Genomic DNA, 13,937 nt, shown 5'->3' with positions numbered 1-13,937 from the left:
ATCTTTCCTAGGAAAATGGGTTGCTGTGAAGGTTAAATAAGAAAACTTTTGTAAAAGCATATGGCGCATAGTAGGTTTTTAATTAATGCATATTTCTTTTCCTGCCAAAACAATAACAGCAATGACTATGGACCAGGAATTTTTAATATGTTAGCTCATTAGTTCTCAAACTGTTGAAGTATAGGTAAAATCCCCAGTTACAGATGAGAATATTGAAGCTCTAAAATACTAAATAACTTGCCCCAAATCACAGACTGGTTAAGTGGTGGAGCCAAAGTTTGTACCAAAGTTTGTTTTATTTTAGATCTTTCTATTCACAGACATACCAGCTAGTCCTTTCACTATTCTTGGCCTAAAATCTTAGTATCCTGCCTGCCATATTTTTATTTTAATAACAAGTAAAGTCTTACACTAAATGGAAAGCCTGCATAGTGGCATTGCAGGTATCAGCAAGTTAGTTGAAGAAATCAACCAACCAACTAAAGTGGACTTGAGCTATAAGATACTGACACTGTTGCAAATTCACTCTACCCAGAAGAATATCATTGGGAAGTGTGAGTCTACACAGCTTCTCTGGACCCCATGGCCTTTCTGAGGGGCTCACTCCTTCCCACTCCTCTTTTCTTCTGCATGCCTTTGGCACATGGCCCACCCTCCCTTTATGAAAGTGCAGTAGAGAATGCAATATTTTTCTTTTTTAAAATAATTTTTGTGGGTACATAGTAGGCATACATATTTATGGGGTATATGAGATGTTTTGATGCAGACATGCAATGTGAAATAAGCACATCATGGAGAATAGGATATCCATCCCCTCAAACGTTTATCCTTTGCATTACAAATAATCCAATTACATTCTTTAAGTGATTTTAAAATACACAATGAAGTTATTATTGACTATAGTCACCCTATTGTACTATCAAATAGTAAGTCTTATTCATTCTTTATCTATTTTTTTTGTACCTATTAACCATCCCCTCCCACACAACACCTTCTGCCCTTCCCAGTGTCTGGTAACCCTCCTTCTACTCTCTATGTCCATCAGTTCGATTGTTTTGATTTTTAGAACCCACAAACAAGTGAGAACATGCGGGAATGCAGCATTTTCCTTTCTCTCCCATCCTGTTGTTTTCAAAACAATATAAAATCCATTTTGATTTCTCTAAGCCATAGAGAAAGAGAAACAGGTTAACCAAAAGGTGAACTACTTGATACATTGTATAAAAACAGGAAAACCCTGAAACTGTGGCGGGCATCATCCCTGCTGACATGCGAAGGAGGCACTCTCCCACGCCTCCTTGGGAGCATCCAGATTGGTTTCCTTTCATTCTCTTCCCTCCCCTCTTCTCTGGGAAGGGAGTATCTCCCAGTTTCACTGAGATTAGTACAGTTTGGTAGGAAAGAGACTGGACTTGGCACCTGACATACTTGGTTGGGGTTTAGCTCTGCCACTGTATGACTTCACCTCTTGTGCCTCAGTTTCCTCCTCATCCAAACGTTGATAATAGTGGCACTTTTCCCCTGGGTTTGTCAGGAGGATTAAATGAGAGCACACATGAAAAGGGCTCAGCATAGTGCCAGGCATGTGGTAAGCAATTAATAACTGGTAGCTACTTATAATCACCACTATCCTGTGGGGAATTCCAAGTATCTCCATTTTTTTTTTTTCGCTTGTTTTCACTGGGGAGCTGCAACAAAAATGCCCAGCTAACCCAGACCTAGAGTTCACAATCAATCATTAGTCTGCGTGTTCCCAAGGGGAAAGAATCATATTCAAAAAGATAAATCATTTAATTCATGGAAGAAACATATAAGTCCAGAGAGCTAATGATTGAAGGACTGCAGAGGAGTCCTGTAAAGTGACTGAGGATGGAATGTGTTGTCACAATGTCACTGGGTAGGTTAGTATTTTTTTTTTTTTTGAAAAATTTTAAAGGAGGTCAGCAGACAATGGAGTGAAAGATTTGTCTGGATTTTTTCCTCTGTCTTTTCTTCTTTAATGTGAGGCAGGTCTGTTCTTTGAAGGCTTGGTTTCTGATGCTACTGATGAGATGCAGGTGGCTTTCTGAACAGTTGTGTTGTCATTTATCATTCTTTATTATGTAGTTTGCTAACACCAAGGTGGAAGTTTTGAAACCTTTTTGGCTGATTTATGAAAGCTAAATACGAAAGGTACATTGTAGGTCTTTATTTGGGGCCACAGCATGGCTCTGCCTGCTTCATCAGTGAACCCACTCAGATATCTATCAAAACATTAGAATCGCTGGTGGGGATGATGTCTGCAGACCACCCCAGAGGTCATCCAAACATCAGGAATCATTTACAAATGAACAGCTGTGTTCTCTACACAAAGTAACTGTGTGGGTGGAGACAAAAAAGTATAAATATTCAAAATTTCCTTGGTGTGTAGGATGCTATTTTTGTGATTCCTGTAAACCATTTGAAGCGTGATTTTTTCCCCCTATTTGTCATACACATTAGCAGAAAAGAATCAAGGAAAATCATTGGAAATCTTTAGAATATTAGGTAGTACCTGAATTTGTGAGCACACAAGTTTTGGACTTGAAATATCTTGGAATATTCTTTTAGGATATTATTTAGTAATTTAAAATATTTAAGATTTTTAGAAATTAAGATTTTTTTTTTTATTTTCCCAACCCAATGTTTCAATAGACTCTGAGCCCAAACTGATAGTTACTGGATTGCCATCAACAACGAAATATTTTGTTTGGACCAGTTCTATGCAATTGAGCTTTTATGCTGATGGAAATATTCACCGTCTGGGCTGTCTAAAATGTTGCATCTAGCCACCTGTGAAACTGGGTTTTAAATTTAATTACATTTTAATGAATTTCAATTTCAATTGCACACGAGGCTAGTGTTTACCTTATTGGACAGAGCAGGTTTGGGCTATTCTGTGGAGGAGATGTCAGAGGACCACCGTAGTTCTGAGCTTGGCTGAGGACACCTAGCAAAGCCTCAGTCCTCTCCCAGGTCATGAGAAGCAGTGTTGCCATGAGACCACTGGCTCCTGTCTTTCAAGTCTTTCCAGCCCCACCCAAGCGTCTCGTCACAAAGCCTTCCCTGGACTCCCTCTCTTTTTCTGGTTACCTAAAATCACCTGTGCCGCTGTTCAGGTACTCTGTGTGTGCTACCCTGCAGAGCTAACTTTCACCCTGCAGGTCACATTCTGTGTTCTCATGAGACTGTAAGTTCATGGCACCATCTGGCTACTGGAAAGTCCTATCCCAGCAAAGGTGGAAGAACCAACCCAGGCAAAAACAAAGCAGAAACACCACAAGCCCCAGGGACTATGAAATCCATCCTGCACTCACCTTGACCTGCTGTGCACCCTCATCCTCTGTCCCTACTTTACCTCCATTTCTATTTGTTTGCTTGCTTGCTTGCTTCTTGCCTGCCTGCCTTCTTTCCTTCCTTCCTTCCTTCCTTTCTCTTTTCTCTATTCTTTTCTTCTATTTTCTTTCTTTTTTTGAGATGGTGTCCCACTCTGTCACCCAGGCTGGAGTGCAGTGGCACAATCTCAGCTCACTGTAACCTCTGTCTCTTGTGTTCAAGCTATTCTCCTGCCTCAGCTTCTCAAGTAGCTGGGATTACAGGCACCCACCACCATGCCTGGCTAATTTTTGCATTTTTAGTAGAGACAGGGTTTCATCGTATTGGCCAGGCTGGTCTTGAACTCCTGACCTTAGGTGATCCGCCCACCTTGTAAGGCACTTCGGGAGCAAAGTGCTGTGATTACAGGTGTGAGCCACCACGCCTGGCCCATTTCTACTTGCTTTTTTAGAATCCCTGTATTTTCTTGCTCCATTATCCTGTTCTCCTACTGATGTCCTGGCTTTCACTCACCCACTCAGTTCCATGTGAAGACCTCTCTTTAGTTTCCAGTACCTTGGGACTTTACTGTTGTGCTTCCAGTAACCGACCTCTTTGGCATGAACACTGGTGTCCTCCTGAGGTCCAACCCAGGGCAGACCCTGCCGAGGCGAAGCCTGGTGTCCTGGGATTGTCCCCCTCCTTCATGAAACACAGGAACCCATCAATTTTTGTTGAGTGCTTAATGTTGACAAGAACCTATTTTAAAAATACATTTATGTTTTGTTTTGTTTTTAATTGCTTCTCAGATGTAAACTGGGTGTAGTTGCTTTGAGAAAGCAAAACCAAATGGCAACATGATAATCTAAGCTGTCTCTCCAATCTGTCTTGCCTCTCTGTTTTCTTTGACCTGCAGTGAGGTTCATGAGCCTTCATAGTCTCTGTATCTAGTAATAGTGTAGGGGTTTGTGAAAAAGGTAAATCATAGGGTAAATGATTTCATTCCTTTGTCTTCAGTGTATGGACATTATGGCCCCGGGTGGAGGGAGATTTTCCACCGTAAAGGGTTAGGAAAGGGACAGAGATGAGAGAAGAAGCTTTGCCAGGTTAGGGGGTGAGTGGCATTCCTGTGCTGTATTCTATCGGGGCATGTGAGCAGGTGGTAAATGCTTTGGATACAAATGAAAAAGGGCCATCAGAGGCTTCCCTGAACAATTTTAAATCAGAGATAATACCCTTCTAAAATTTAGGCAGCATTCAATCCTTCCTTTGAAGGAATAGCTTGATTGTAAGGCACTAGATGGTCTTACACAAAATATATGTATGTACACATACTTATAGATATACGTGCTCATAAAAGATATAGCAGAGCAATGGATTACTCTTACGACACTCAGATTGCCAAAAATGTGTTTTTCTTATTTTGCCTGTTACTGATATGATTTCCCTTATGACAACCATTTCTATGGGAGGTGGGAAGCCCCAGAAGGGACTTAATGTAGTCCAATTTAGAATCTTAGCCTGAGCCAATCAGGTATTTATCTGAGTAATTGTGTTTTTTAAGGATAAATGCTGCCTTTCCTATTCCTGCCCCTCCCTGCCTGCTTCCCTTCTCTTTAACAATATATCTCCCATGTGTGTGCAGGGAGAGATGCTGCTTAGGTGCTCAGTGCAGTGGAGTGAAGTCTGGGCCCTCGCATCCACAGGCATCCTCTGGGGACTCCCTGGCCACTGGTACAGAGCAGCAGGACTAGTATATGTGAAAGTGGAACCAATGAGGTGTCCACATGGTTTGATGTGTTGGTATCACTGCTACAGACATTGGCTCTCACCTTTTGAATCTGGTTTCTAAGTTTCCCCCATCCTTAAGGACCCCAGGCTTCTGCTGAGGCACTAGGACTTGCAGCACCTCCAAGTCCCCTCACTGGGGCAAATGGCAACCTCGGGGGCCCTGCACACTATGCCAGGGGAACCCACAAAGCTGACTAGGGCTGCTGGTGCTGGGAGAGCACACCCAGCCATGGTCCAAGGTGACGTTGGGGGTATATTCGTCAGCTCGGGCTGCCATAACAAAATACCAGAGACCGGGAGACTTAAAAAACAGAAATTCATTTGCTCACAGTTCTGGGGGCTGGAAGTCCAAGGTCAAAGTGTCAGCAGGGTTGGTTTCTGGGGAGACCTCTCTTTTGGCTTGCATTTGGCCTCCTTCTTGCTGTGTCCTCACACGGCCTCTTTTCTGCAGGCACACTCCTGGCACCGCTTCCTCTTCTTAGAAGGATACCAGTGCTATTGAATTAGGGCCTACCCTCATGATCTCATTTAACCTCAGTTACCTCTTTAAAGACCTTATTTCCAAGTAAAGTCACATAGTTGATTAGAGCTTCAACACAGCTCCCTGCCTCCTCCATATCCATTTGGGTGTTTCTAAATGGCCTACCTCTTCCAGAGAAGTACAATAAATGAAGACCCCGAGATTAAACACAACATCCCTTTCTCCCACAATCACTGAGGAAATTCTGTCCCCTGAGTCTGCCAGTCTTCATCCTGGATGTGCTAACACAAATGTAGGTGCTCCTTTTTTTCCTGCATGATGTTGGGCTTTCAAACATTTAGTCAAACAAGAATCTGTATTGACTTTTCTCTGTTGGGAGCTAACTTCTCCCTGAATCTCTGAGACCAGTTGTCTGGAAGCCTCAGGAGAGGGAGAGTCATAGGATGAGAAATATACATGAAATTATAAAAAGAAAATTCTCTTTTTTACACATCCAATTATATTTATTACATAAACACACAACACCTGCAATGCCATCTCTTCTGCTTTCCTTGAATTTGATGAAATTATTTGTGTGAGTGTTAATGTCAGTATATGTAAATAATTAGTTATATTTTAACACTTATGGAATTTCATCTTCTTTCATTGTGATATTCCAAACTGGGGACAACAGGGATGTCCAAAAGGAAAGTGGAAATTAATAAAGACCAGCCAAATGCGAACAGGCAAAGGCTATTTATTCAGAGCCTGCTATAGCAGGGGTGTCAGCCACTGTCACTTTTTGACAGAGACTCAAAGGCAGGCAGAGTGGGAAAGCTTCAGGTGTGTGCCAATTGGGCTCCTGGCATGGGGAAGCTGCAGGCTGGCCAACTAGAAGCAGAGTAGCCTATGTGATTTGTTAGGGGTGTATATTTGACTTTCTCTGGTTGGCCTTAATTTGGAAGTGGGGACAAAAATTAGGGAAGCTGTCAGTTATTAATCAAGGCCTGGCCATTTTGGGCCAACTGTTACAGGATTTATTGCTTGGATTCCTGGACTAGTAACTAGAGATAGCAATCTGACTTATAGACAGCAGGCTGGCTATCTATAGCTAGATAATAGGTTGGTTTCTTGTGCTGGTTGCTGCAGGTTGGGGGTCAGTTATTGACTTTTTTATGTGGTCTACCCAAGGTCATTTGTATGTTCAGTGTCTCAGGAGTTTGTTAAACTCCCTGCTAAGCCCTCGTGTTTCCTTCAGGTACATCCAAGTGAACTGATGCTGAGTCTCAGAGCAGGTACCTCGTGTGGCTCTTATGCCTGAGAACCATGAGGTCTCGAGAAGACACAGTAGTGCTGTATTGTCAGGTCCCACCATGTTCCCTCTGCCTCTCTCCGTGCTGTTCTCGGGGTCCAGGCCCAGTGATGCCTCCACTTCTGGACTTGACATTTATGAAGAAATGTGTTCGTGTTTTAGGTCATAACCCATTCATAGGGTTCAAAATGCCAAACAATAAAGGGACAGGCCTTCTCCCACCTGGCGTCCATCTATCTCATAGCCCAACAGTGTCCCACATAGGTAAACATTTTTTTATTCCTTTTTCATGTATACATGAAAGACCTTCTAGAGTTTTAGAAAGCCAAATGGAGGCTGGGCATGGTGTGTCATGCCTATAATCCCAGCACTTTGGGAGGCCAAGCTGGATGGATCACCTGAGTCGGGAGTTTGAGACCAGCCTGGCCAAGATGGTAAAACCCTGTCTCTACTAAAATACAAAATTTATCCAGGAGTGGTGGTGGGCACCTGTAATCCCAGCTAATTGAGAGGCTGAGGCAGAAGAATTGCTCGAACCTGGGAAGCAGACTTGCAGTGAGCTGAGATCGTGCCACTGCACTCTGGCCTGGGTGACAGAATGAGACTCTGTCTCAGAAGAAAAACAAACAAAAAAACAAATGGAGCAAACATGGGTAAAGATTTTGTTTTTCCTGCTTTCATATAGAAAGTTAATACACTATACATACTGTTCTGTACCTTACTTTTTTCACTTAATTTTTTAATTTTTCCCCGTATACATAGAAAACACCACATTTTTTCTTACTGCTTTTAAAAAATGACATAGTATTCCATTCTTTGTACCACAAACTATTTCTTGAGAAACATTGGATTATTTCCAATCTTTTTCTGGTGTGAACAGAACTGCAGTGGATAAACCTGTATACATGCCATTTGGTACCTGTGTAGTTGTACCTATAAAATAAATTCCAAGAAGTTGGACTCATGGGTGAAAGCGTAGATTCTTTGGCAGTTTTGCCAGTGAAGGTCAAGTTGCCCTCTCTTGGAGACGCACCAATTTACACCCCTTCCAGCAGCCTGTGACAAGTGTGTAGACTTGATCTAATAATCCCTTTTGTGAATAACGTTGATTGAGGGTCTTCAGTGACACATGGAGCTGGGTTTGATGGAGGCAGCAGGCTCGTTGGGGACCTCACCTTCCCCATCCTTAGGCACTAGTTTCAGAGACTTCCATTTTTGGTTTTATGGAGGAGAGTGCCCCCATGTGAGTGGGATGCAGAACCTTCTAAAGGCAAATCCCCCAAGTTAAGGGAATTTATTCCTCTAGTCGAGCCCTCACAGCTCCTGCTTGCCTTTGGTCTTGATGGCTTTTGACCCTGACTGCTCATTGCTTCTGCTTGGGATTTCCTGGCAGCCATTCCTGAGGCCTGGCCCTGACATCACTCCTGCCCCATGGGTATGATTTGGTACCTACTGCTCCTCCGGAAGGGAGCGGGTCAACATTTACATCTGCATGTCTTCGGCAGGAAGGGCCAGGGAGGAACTGAGGAAATGCAAGTCTGGGCAATGGCCAATGTCAGTTTGCTGGCTGTTGTCACCTTTGGTCCTTGGAGCTGCCTTGTGTGTTTCTTGGCTTATCCTCCAAATCGTTGCTTCAGCACTGGAGGAGAGGTCCCAAACTCAGCTGCATACAGGAACCACCCAGATGAAACAGATGAGGGCCATGGGCTGCAGGTACCCGGGGAGGAGGAGAGAGCACCGCTACCCTTTGAGGCTCCAGCGAATTGCTGTCATGTCGAAATCCTGGGCCCAGGAAGCCAGAGCTTTTGCTACTTTCGAAAGAAGTTAGAAATGGAGATTTTTATGTTAAATTTCACAGTATTAAAATGCTGGCAACGAATTCACATTGAAATAACAACAACATCTATGATAGCTCTAGGGACTCTAAATAGCACATCCAAGAGTAGGGGTTGGTTTAGGGGCTGTCAGTTTGCAACTCTGCCTTAGCTCTGTGTCTTGTGTCTCAGAATGGCCCAGCCTTTCTGTTCCCTCAGTCTCACTATGGGCCTGGTTGTGAGGTGCTTGCTGCTATTTAGACCTGTAGACCTTGAAGGTGCTGCTTGTTTGACTTTATTTTATTTTAGCGATGGGGTCTCTCTCTGTCTCCCAGGCAGGAGTGCAGTTGGGCGATCATGGCTCATTGTAATCTCAAACTCCTGGGCCCAAATGATCCTCCTGCCTCAGCCTCCTGAATAGCTGGGACTACAGGTACACATCACCATGTCTAGCTAATTTTTAAGTTTTTTTTTGTAGAGATGGAGAGTTTCCTTGTGTTGCCCAGCCTCGTCTCCCAGGCTCAAATGATCCTCCTGCCTTAGCCTCCCAAAATAATGGGATTGCAGGGATAAACCACTGCGCTGGGCTAGCTTGTTAATATTATTGGTTCGTGGTAACTTTTCTTGGGCAACCGTCTCTTCTATAAAATCTAGATCCATTTTAAAGTCAACAAGTTACAATCAAAATGTTATGGCTCCCAGGAACTTTTATCTGGGAAAGCCTAGTTCTCCCACCTACCCCTCCCATCTCCATTCCTGTTGGGGCTTGACTCTCTTCTTGGGACGAGAGGCCTGCTGCTCCCATGTGTGTCCGTGAACCTTCAAGGAATGCTTCTCACAGGGAAGATCAGTGCAATCTTAGTCTCTCTGCTTTCAGAGACTGAAGCAGTCATGTCTTCAGTCATAGCCTCATTTGGTTCTTTCTAGAACAATCTTCTGAGGAACCTTTTGCTTAATCATCCTCCTCCTATTAGTTTTTCCTACAGCAGCATCTCCTTTTCATCTGGGAGGTAGAGCCAGTAATGCAAAGAATGTATTGATCCTGGAGCTGGTGTTATCTCTCCAAGCCTCGGTTTCCATAGCTATAAAATGGGGTCAATAACAGTGCCCTCTTTCTGGAGCAGTAGTAAGAATCAAGTGGCATATGTGAAAATGCTCTGTGAATTGCAAAGTGTTGCAAAGGATATATAAAGGTTTTTATTCTTATTTATTGCACAAGAGCATTTATTTATTGCACAAGAGCATTACAACTATAAAAAAGGAGACATTGAAGATATAAAAAAGACATTGAAGACCCCTGCAATCTCACTATGCTAACCCATGTGCAGTTATATTTTCCAGTATTTTGTATTCTGTTCCACTTCTTACCCACATAAAAACAATCAGAGCGATCCTGAGCTGAATCACTTCTCCCTCCAGGCTGCTCTCTGCCCTTCTGTTCTCCAGCATATGGGAGGGAAGCAGAACCAGCCCACTTGGAAGATGCTGGGTGAATGATTTATTCACTGAGCATTTTTAAAGAGACTAGACATTTTATGCAGATGAGATGTGGAGTTCACCTAACACCAAACATACAAAACAGCAAAGAAATGAAACTCAAGAAAGTCTTCGGCTGGGTGCAGTGGCTTATGCCTGTAATCCCAACACTTTGGGAGGTTGAGGCAGGAGGATCGCTTGAGGTCAGGAGTTCGAGACCAGCCTGGCCAACATAGTGCAACCCCGTCTCTACTAAAAATACAAATATTAGCTGGGCGTGGTGGCAGGTGCCTGTAATCCCATCTACTACGGGAGACTGAGGCAGGAGAATCGCTTGAATCCAGGAGACAGAGGTTGCAGTGAGTCGAGATTGTGCCACTGCACTCTAGCCTGGGCAACAGAGCGAGACTCTTTTCAAAAGAAAGTCTTCATAGCGATAGTGATGCCTTATTTTACAGAGTATTTCAGAGTTTTTAAAGAGTTTTCATGTGTATTATTTCTCTCCTTCTAACAGTGCTTTGAGGAAGATAGGATGGAGTGAACATATGTATTATTTTATGGCTGAAACAAGTAGCCCAAAGAGGCTAAGTGATTGTTCAGGGTTATGGTTAGTTTGTGCTAGAGTTGGGCTTGGAAAGCAGATTTCATAGACTCTTTTTCTGTCCTCTTAGTTTCTGTCGATTTACTTCTCTGTGTTCAGTGACCACGTATTAATACTTTTTATGTATTAATCCCTCCATAATATCAGTTACATAATAACAAATCCTCACTGATTATTTGATTAATAGGATATGTTGAAAGCCACATGTAAAGTTGTTTGAATATCGTAACAACTGTAAGATATAACTTACTATAGCTCTTTAAAATGAACTCCAGTGAGCTACAAATCTTGCTTTACATTTGCTGGGAAGGAGTAGGTTATAGCCTGAGATGTAAAGATCCACTTGTTATTCCATGAGTGCCTTACTTTGTATGTTATTGTAAAGTTTGCTAATTACTTCCACATCTGTTATTTTATGTGGTCCCCAGTGCATCTCTCTAAGGTGTGTCAATCGAGTAGCATCTGTTGCCTGTTATCAGGATGGGAGTCTGAACTCTTCCTCCAGTGTCTCGGTATTGGAGTTGCCAAGGAAAACACAATGCAGTCAAGCCCTGGATGGAACATGTTTTGCTCATATAGAGAAGAGATAAAGAGCAGCTTCAATAGAGGGCGTCAGTCCCCCATGGTGAGTGGGGCCCTCCAGCAGCCCATGAAGGCCCATTGGCCTGTGTGCACTCATCTTGTGCTGCAGCAGAAGCATCCATTCCCTGCCCAAGGGGACAGAAATAGCAGTGGGGTTGGCCAGGTGCCATATAATGTACATGCTTGTGCAGAACAAAGGGGTACGCATTGAGTCTGAAACAGGGAAAGATATTCCGTCAAGCCCAGCTCAGGCTGTGAGGACTCTACCTCTTGGTAAGAAAGTATGCTGGGCCCAAGGCCCATTCCCTTGCACCTGAAAGGGGGTTGGGAGACTGTGCAAGGGAATATCTTTCTCAGCAAGTTGGTCAGCACAGCCACGAGACCGAGATGTGCACAGACCCTCCAGACTTGTGGTGTCACCTTCCACTGGGATATCCAAATCAGAGGGTTCCTGTCTCCCTTCTGTATGTTGCAGGCAGGTCCACCCAGTGGTTCCGTGAATTTCCAATGGAGACAAGCTTGGCGCTGGGGATGGAGGGGTGACAAATTCCGTTTTGGGCTCCTCAAGGAGGCTTACAGCCCCTCACCAGCCTATGCTACTGTCATCTGCTCCCAAGATACTGCCCGGTCCTCAGAATTGCTTGAGCCTCTCCTACCTGTTGTCCCATCAGCAGCCTTTCTTCATCGTGACAATTCATCTCTCATACCTGTTGTGTGTTGCAGACTTTATTGATATTTTGGGGAAAATAGAAGGTAATTACACCACAGGCAGAAAACCACTTCCAATTCCATTCAGATGTTCTTGTTCATAGAAATCTACTGAGCAGTTTTCTCCGTGGGGAATTTCTTATCTACCTGCTGCCATGTTGTGAGGGCCTTCTTGCTGCCTATCTGGTCTGTGTTTTTCCTTTCTCTCACTTCTGATGATTCTCAACCCCTTTCTTTGGGGCTTAATTTTATTTTTCACATTGATGTGCAAAATGATTCCTTTCTCCCCACTTTTTAATTTTTTTAATGCTTCCCTTTCCATACCATGCTCTGGAAGTTTTTACCTTTTATTCTCAAAGAAGTTCATTGAGGTATTTTATACAAAAAGAGATCTCTCCAGATTTGAATTCTAAATTATATAAAAGTGGCTGCAGCTGGTTCTTATGTTAAATACCAATTTTCTTTCTTTTTAATGAATATTTCCATTTTACAGATGAAGAAACTGAGGCTTTGAGTGTTTAAACGGTTTGTATGAACATCAGAGCTAAGGCCTTGTTCTGAGGTTTTCCCACTCTACCCTTCTATTTTTCAAGAGACTGTAATGTTAATAGCATTTGTTCTAACGATATCAATCCTTATCTTCATTTACTTTTTTCTGTCATAAGTTATTACATCAAATAATACTTCACATTGACTTTCCACTGCTCAGAATTCAAGGAGCAAAATCTTAATGCTTAGGAGCAACGAATGTTGTGGATGCTGTTAACCCAGCAGAGCCAGGCTGTTTATATTCCTTGTAAAAATAATTGTCTCATTAATCTTCACCTCAACCACCTAATCCTGTTGCCAAGGTCAAGGTGAGGATGCAGGTGAATTGCAGATATGTCATCATGCACGCAGAGCACGGTGCCCACGCCTGTTTTTTGAAGTGGCAATGAGCGTTGAGGGTCAGCAGAGATGAGAGAGATAAAGGTCCCTTCTTTGCGATTGTGCAAAACGGACCCACTCTGAGTCATGCCAGAAACATATCCTGCATGGTAACCAGGCACGGAAAGGCCTGTCTAGCAAGGGAGGTGTAATTTCCTGTGGAATTCATTTCTACCAGATCTACTCAATGTTGAATTAACTGGTAAACTTTTACTCCCTTCCTAGATAAACATTTCTATTTTAGTGGTCAGCCTGCTATCAGAGAGGCAGTGACTTAAGTGCAAGAGAATCTACACAGACAACAGTTTTTGCTTCAGTGCACAAATTACATCACTGGATAATAACTGGAAAAGAATGTATCATGGCAGATCATTGATTTATGAGCTACACTTAGGAGAAGAAAATGAAGATAAAGGATCCTCAGGGGTTGATTATACATTTTTAGGCAAGATGAATGAGTTTCTGTCATTAATTTGGCTTTCTTTAAAATTTTCTTATTGACACATAATATTTGTACAGATTTATGGGGTATACGTGATATTTTGTTACACCCATAGAATGTGTAATGATCAAGTCAGGAGACTCAGGGTATCCGTCATCTCAAGTATTTATCCTTTCTTTGTGTTGGTAACAATAAGCCCTCTCTTCTAGCTGCTTTGAAAGATATAATACATTGTTAACTATACTCACCTTACTCTGCTATCAAATATTAGAACTTATTTCTTCTGTGGAACTGTGTTTGTACCCATTAACTTACCTGTCTTCATCCCCCTCCTACACCTCCACATCCACATCCTTCCCAGCCTCTGGTGTCTATCATTCTACTCTCTATCTCCATAAAAATCAACTTTTTTAGCTCCCACATATAAGTGAGAACATGTGATATTCGAATGTGCCTGGAATATTTCATTTAACATAATAATCTCCAGTTGT

At 42.8% G+C, this 13,937-nt stretch overlaps 1 annotated feature.

Annotated features, from left to right (window-relative positions):
- Positions 12,266-13,465: an enhancer, noted in NCBI's record as "CDK7 strongly-dependent group 2 enhancer chr2:134575595-134576794 (GRCh37/hg19 assembly coordinates)". NCBI's record gives its function as "activates an origin of replication core promoter dependent on BRD2, BRD4, P300/CBP, MED14 and CDK7 cofactors, with strong dependence on CDK7, by STARR-seq in HCT116 cells {active_cell/tissue: HCT116}" and the evidence as "EXISTENCE:reporter gene assay evidence [ECO:0000049][PMID:35650434]".

This window comes from Homo sapiens, chromosome 2 (genome assembly GCF_000001405.40).
Source record: "Homo sapiens chromosome 2, GRCh38.p14 Primary Assembly".
Classification (NCBI taxonomy): Eukaryota; Metazoa; Chordata; class Mammalia; order Primates; family Hominidae; genus Homo; species Homo sapiens.
This window is presented reverse-complemented; position numbering and strand designations above follow the sequence as displayed.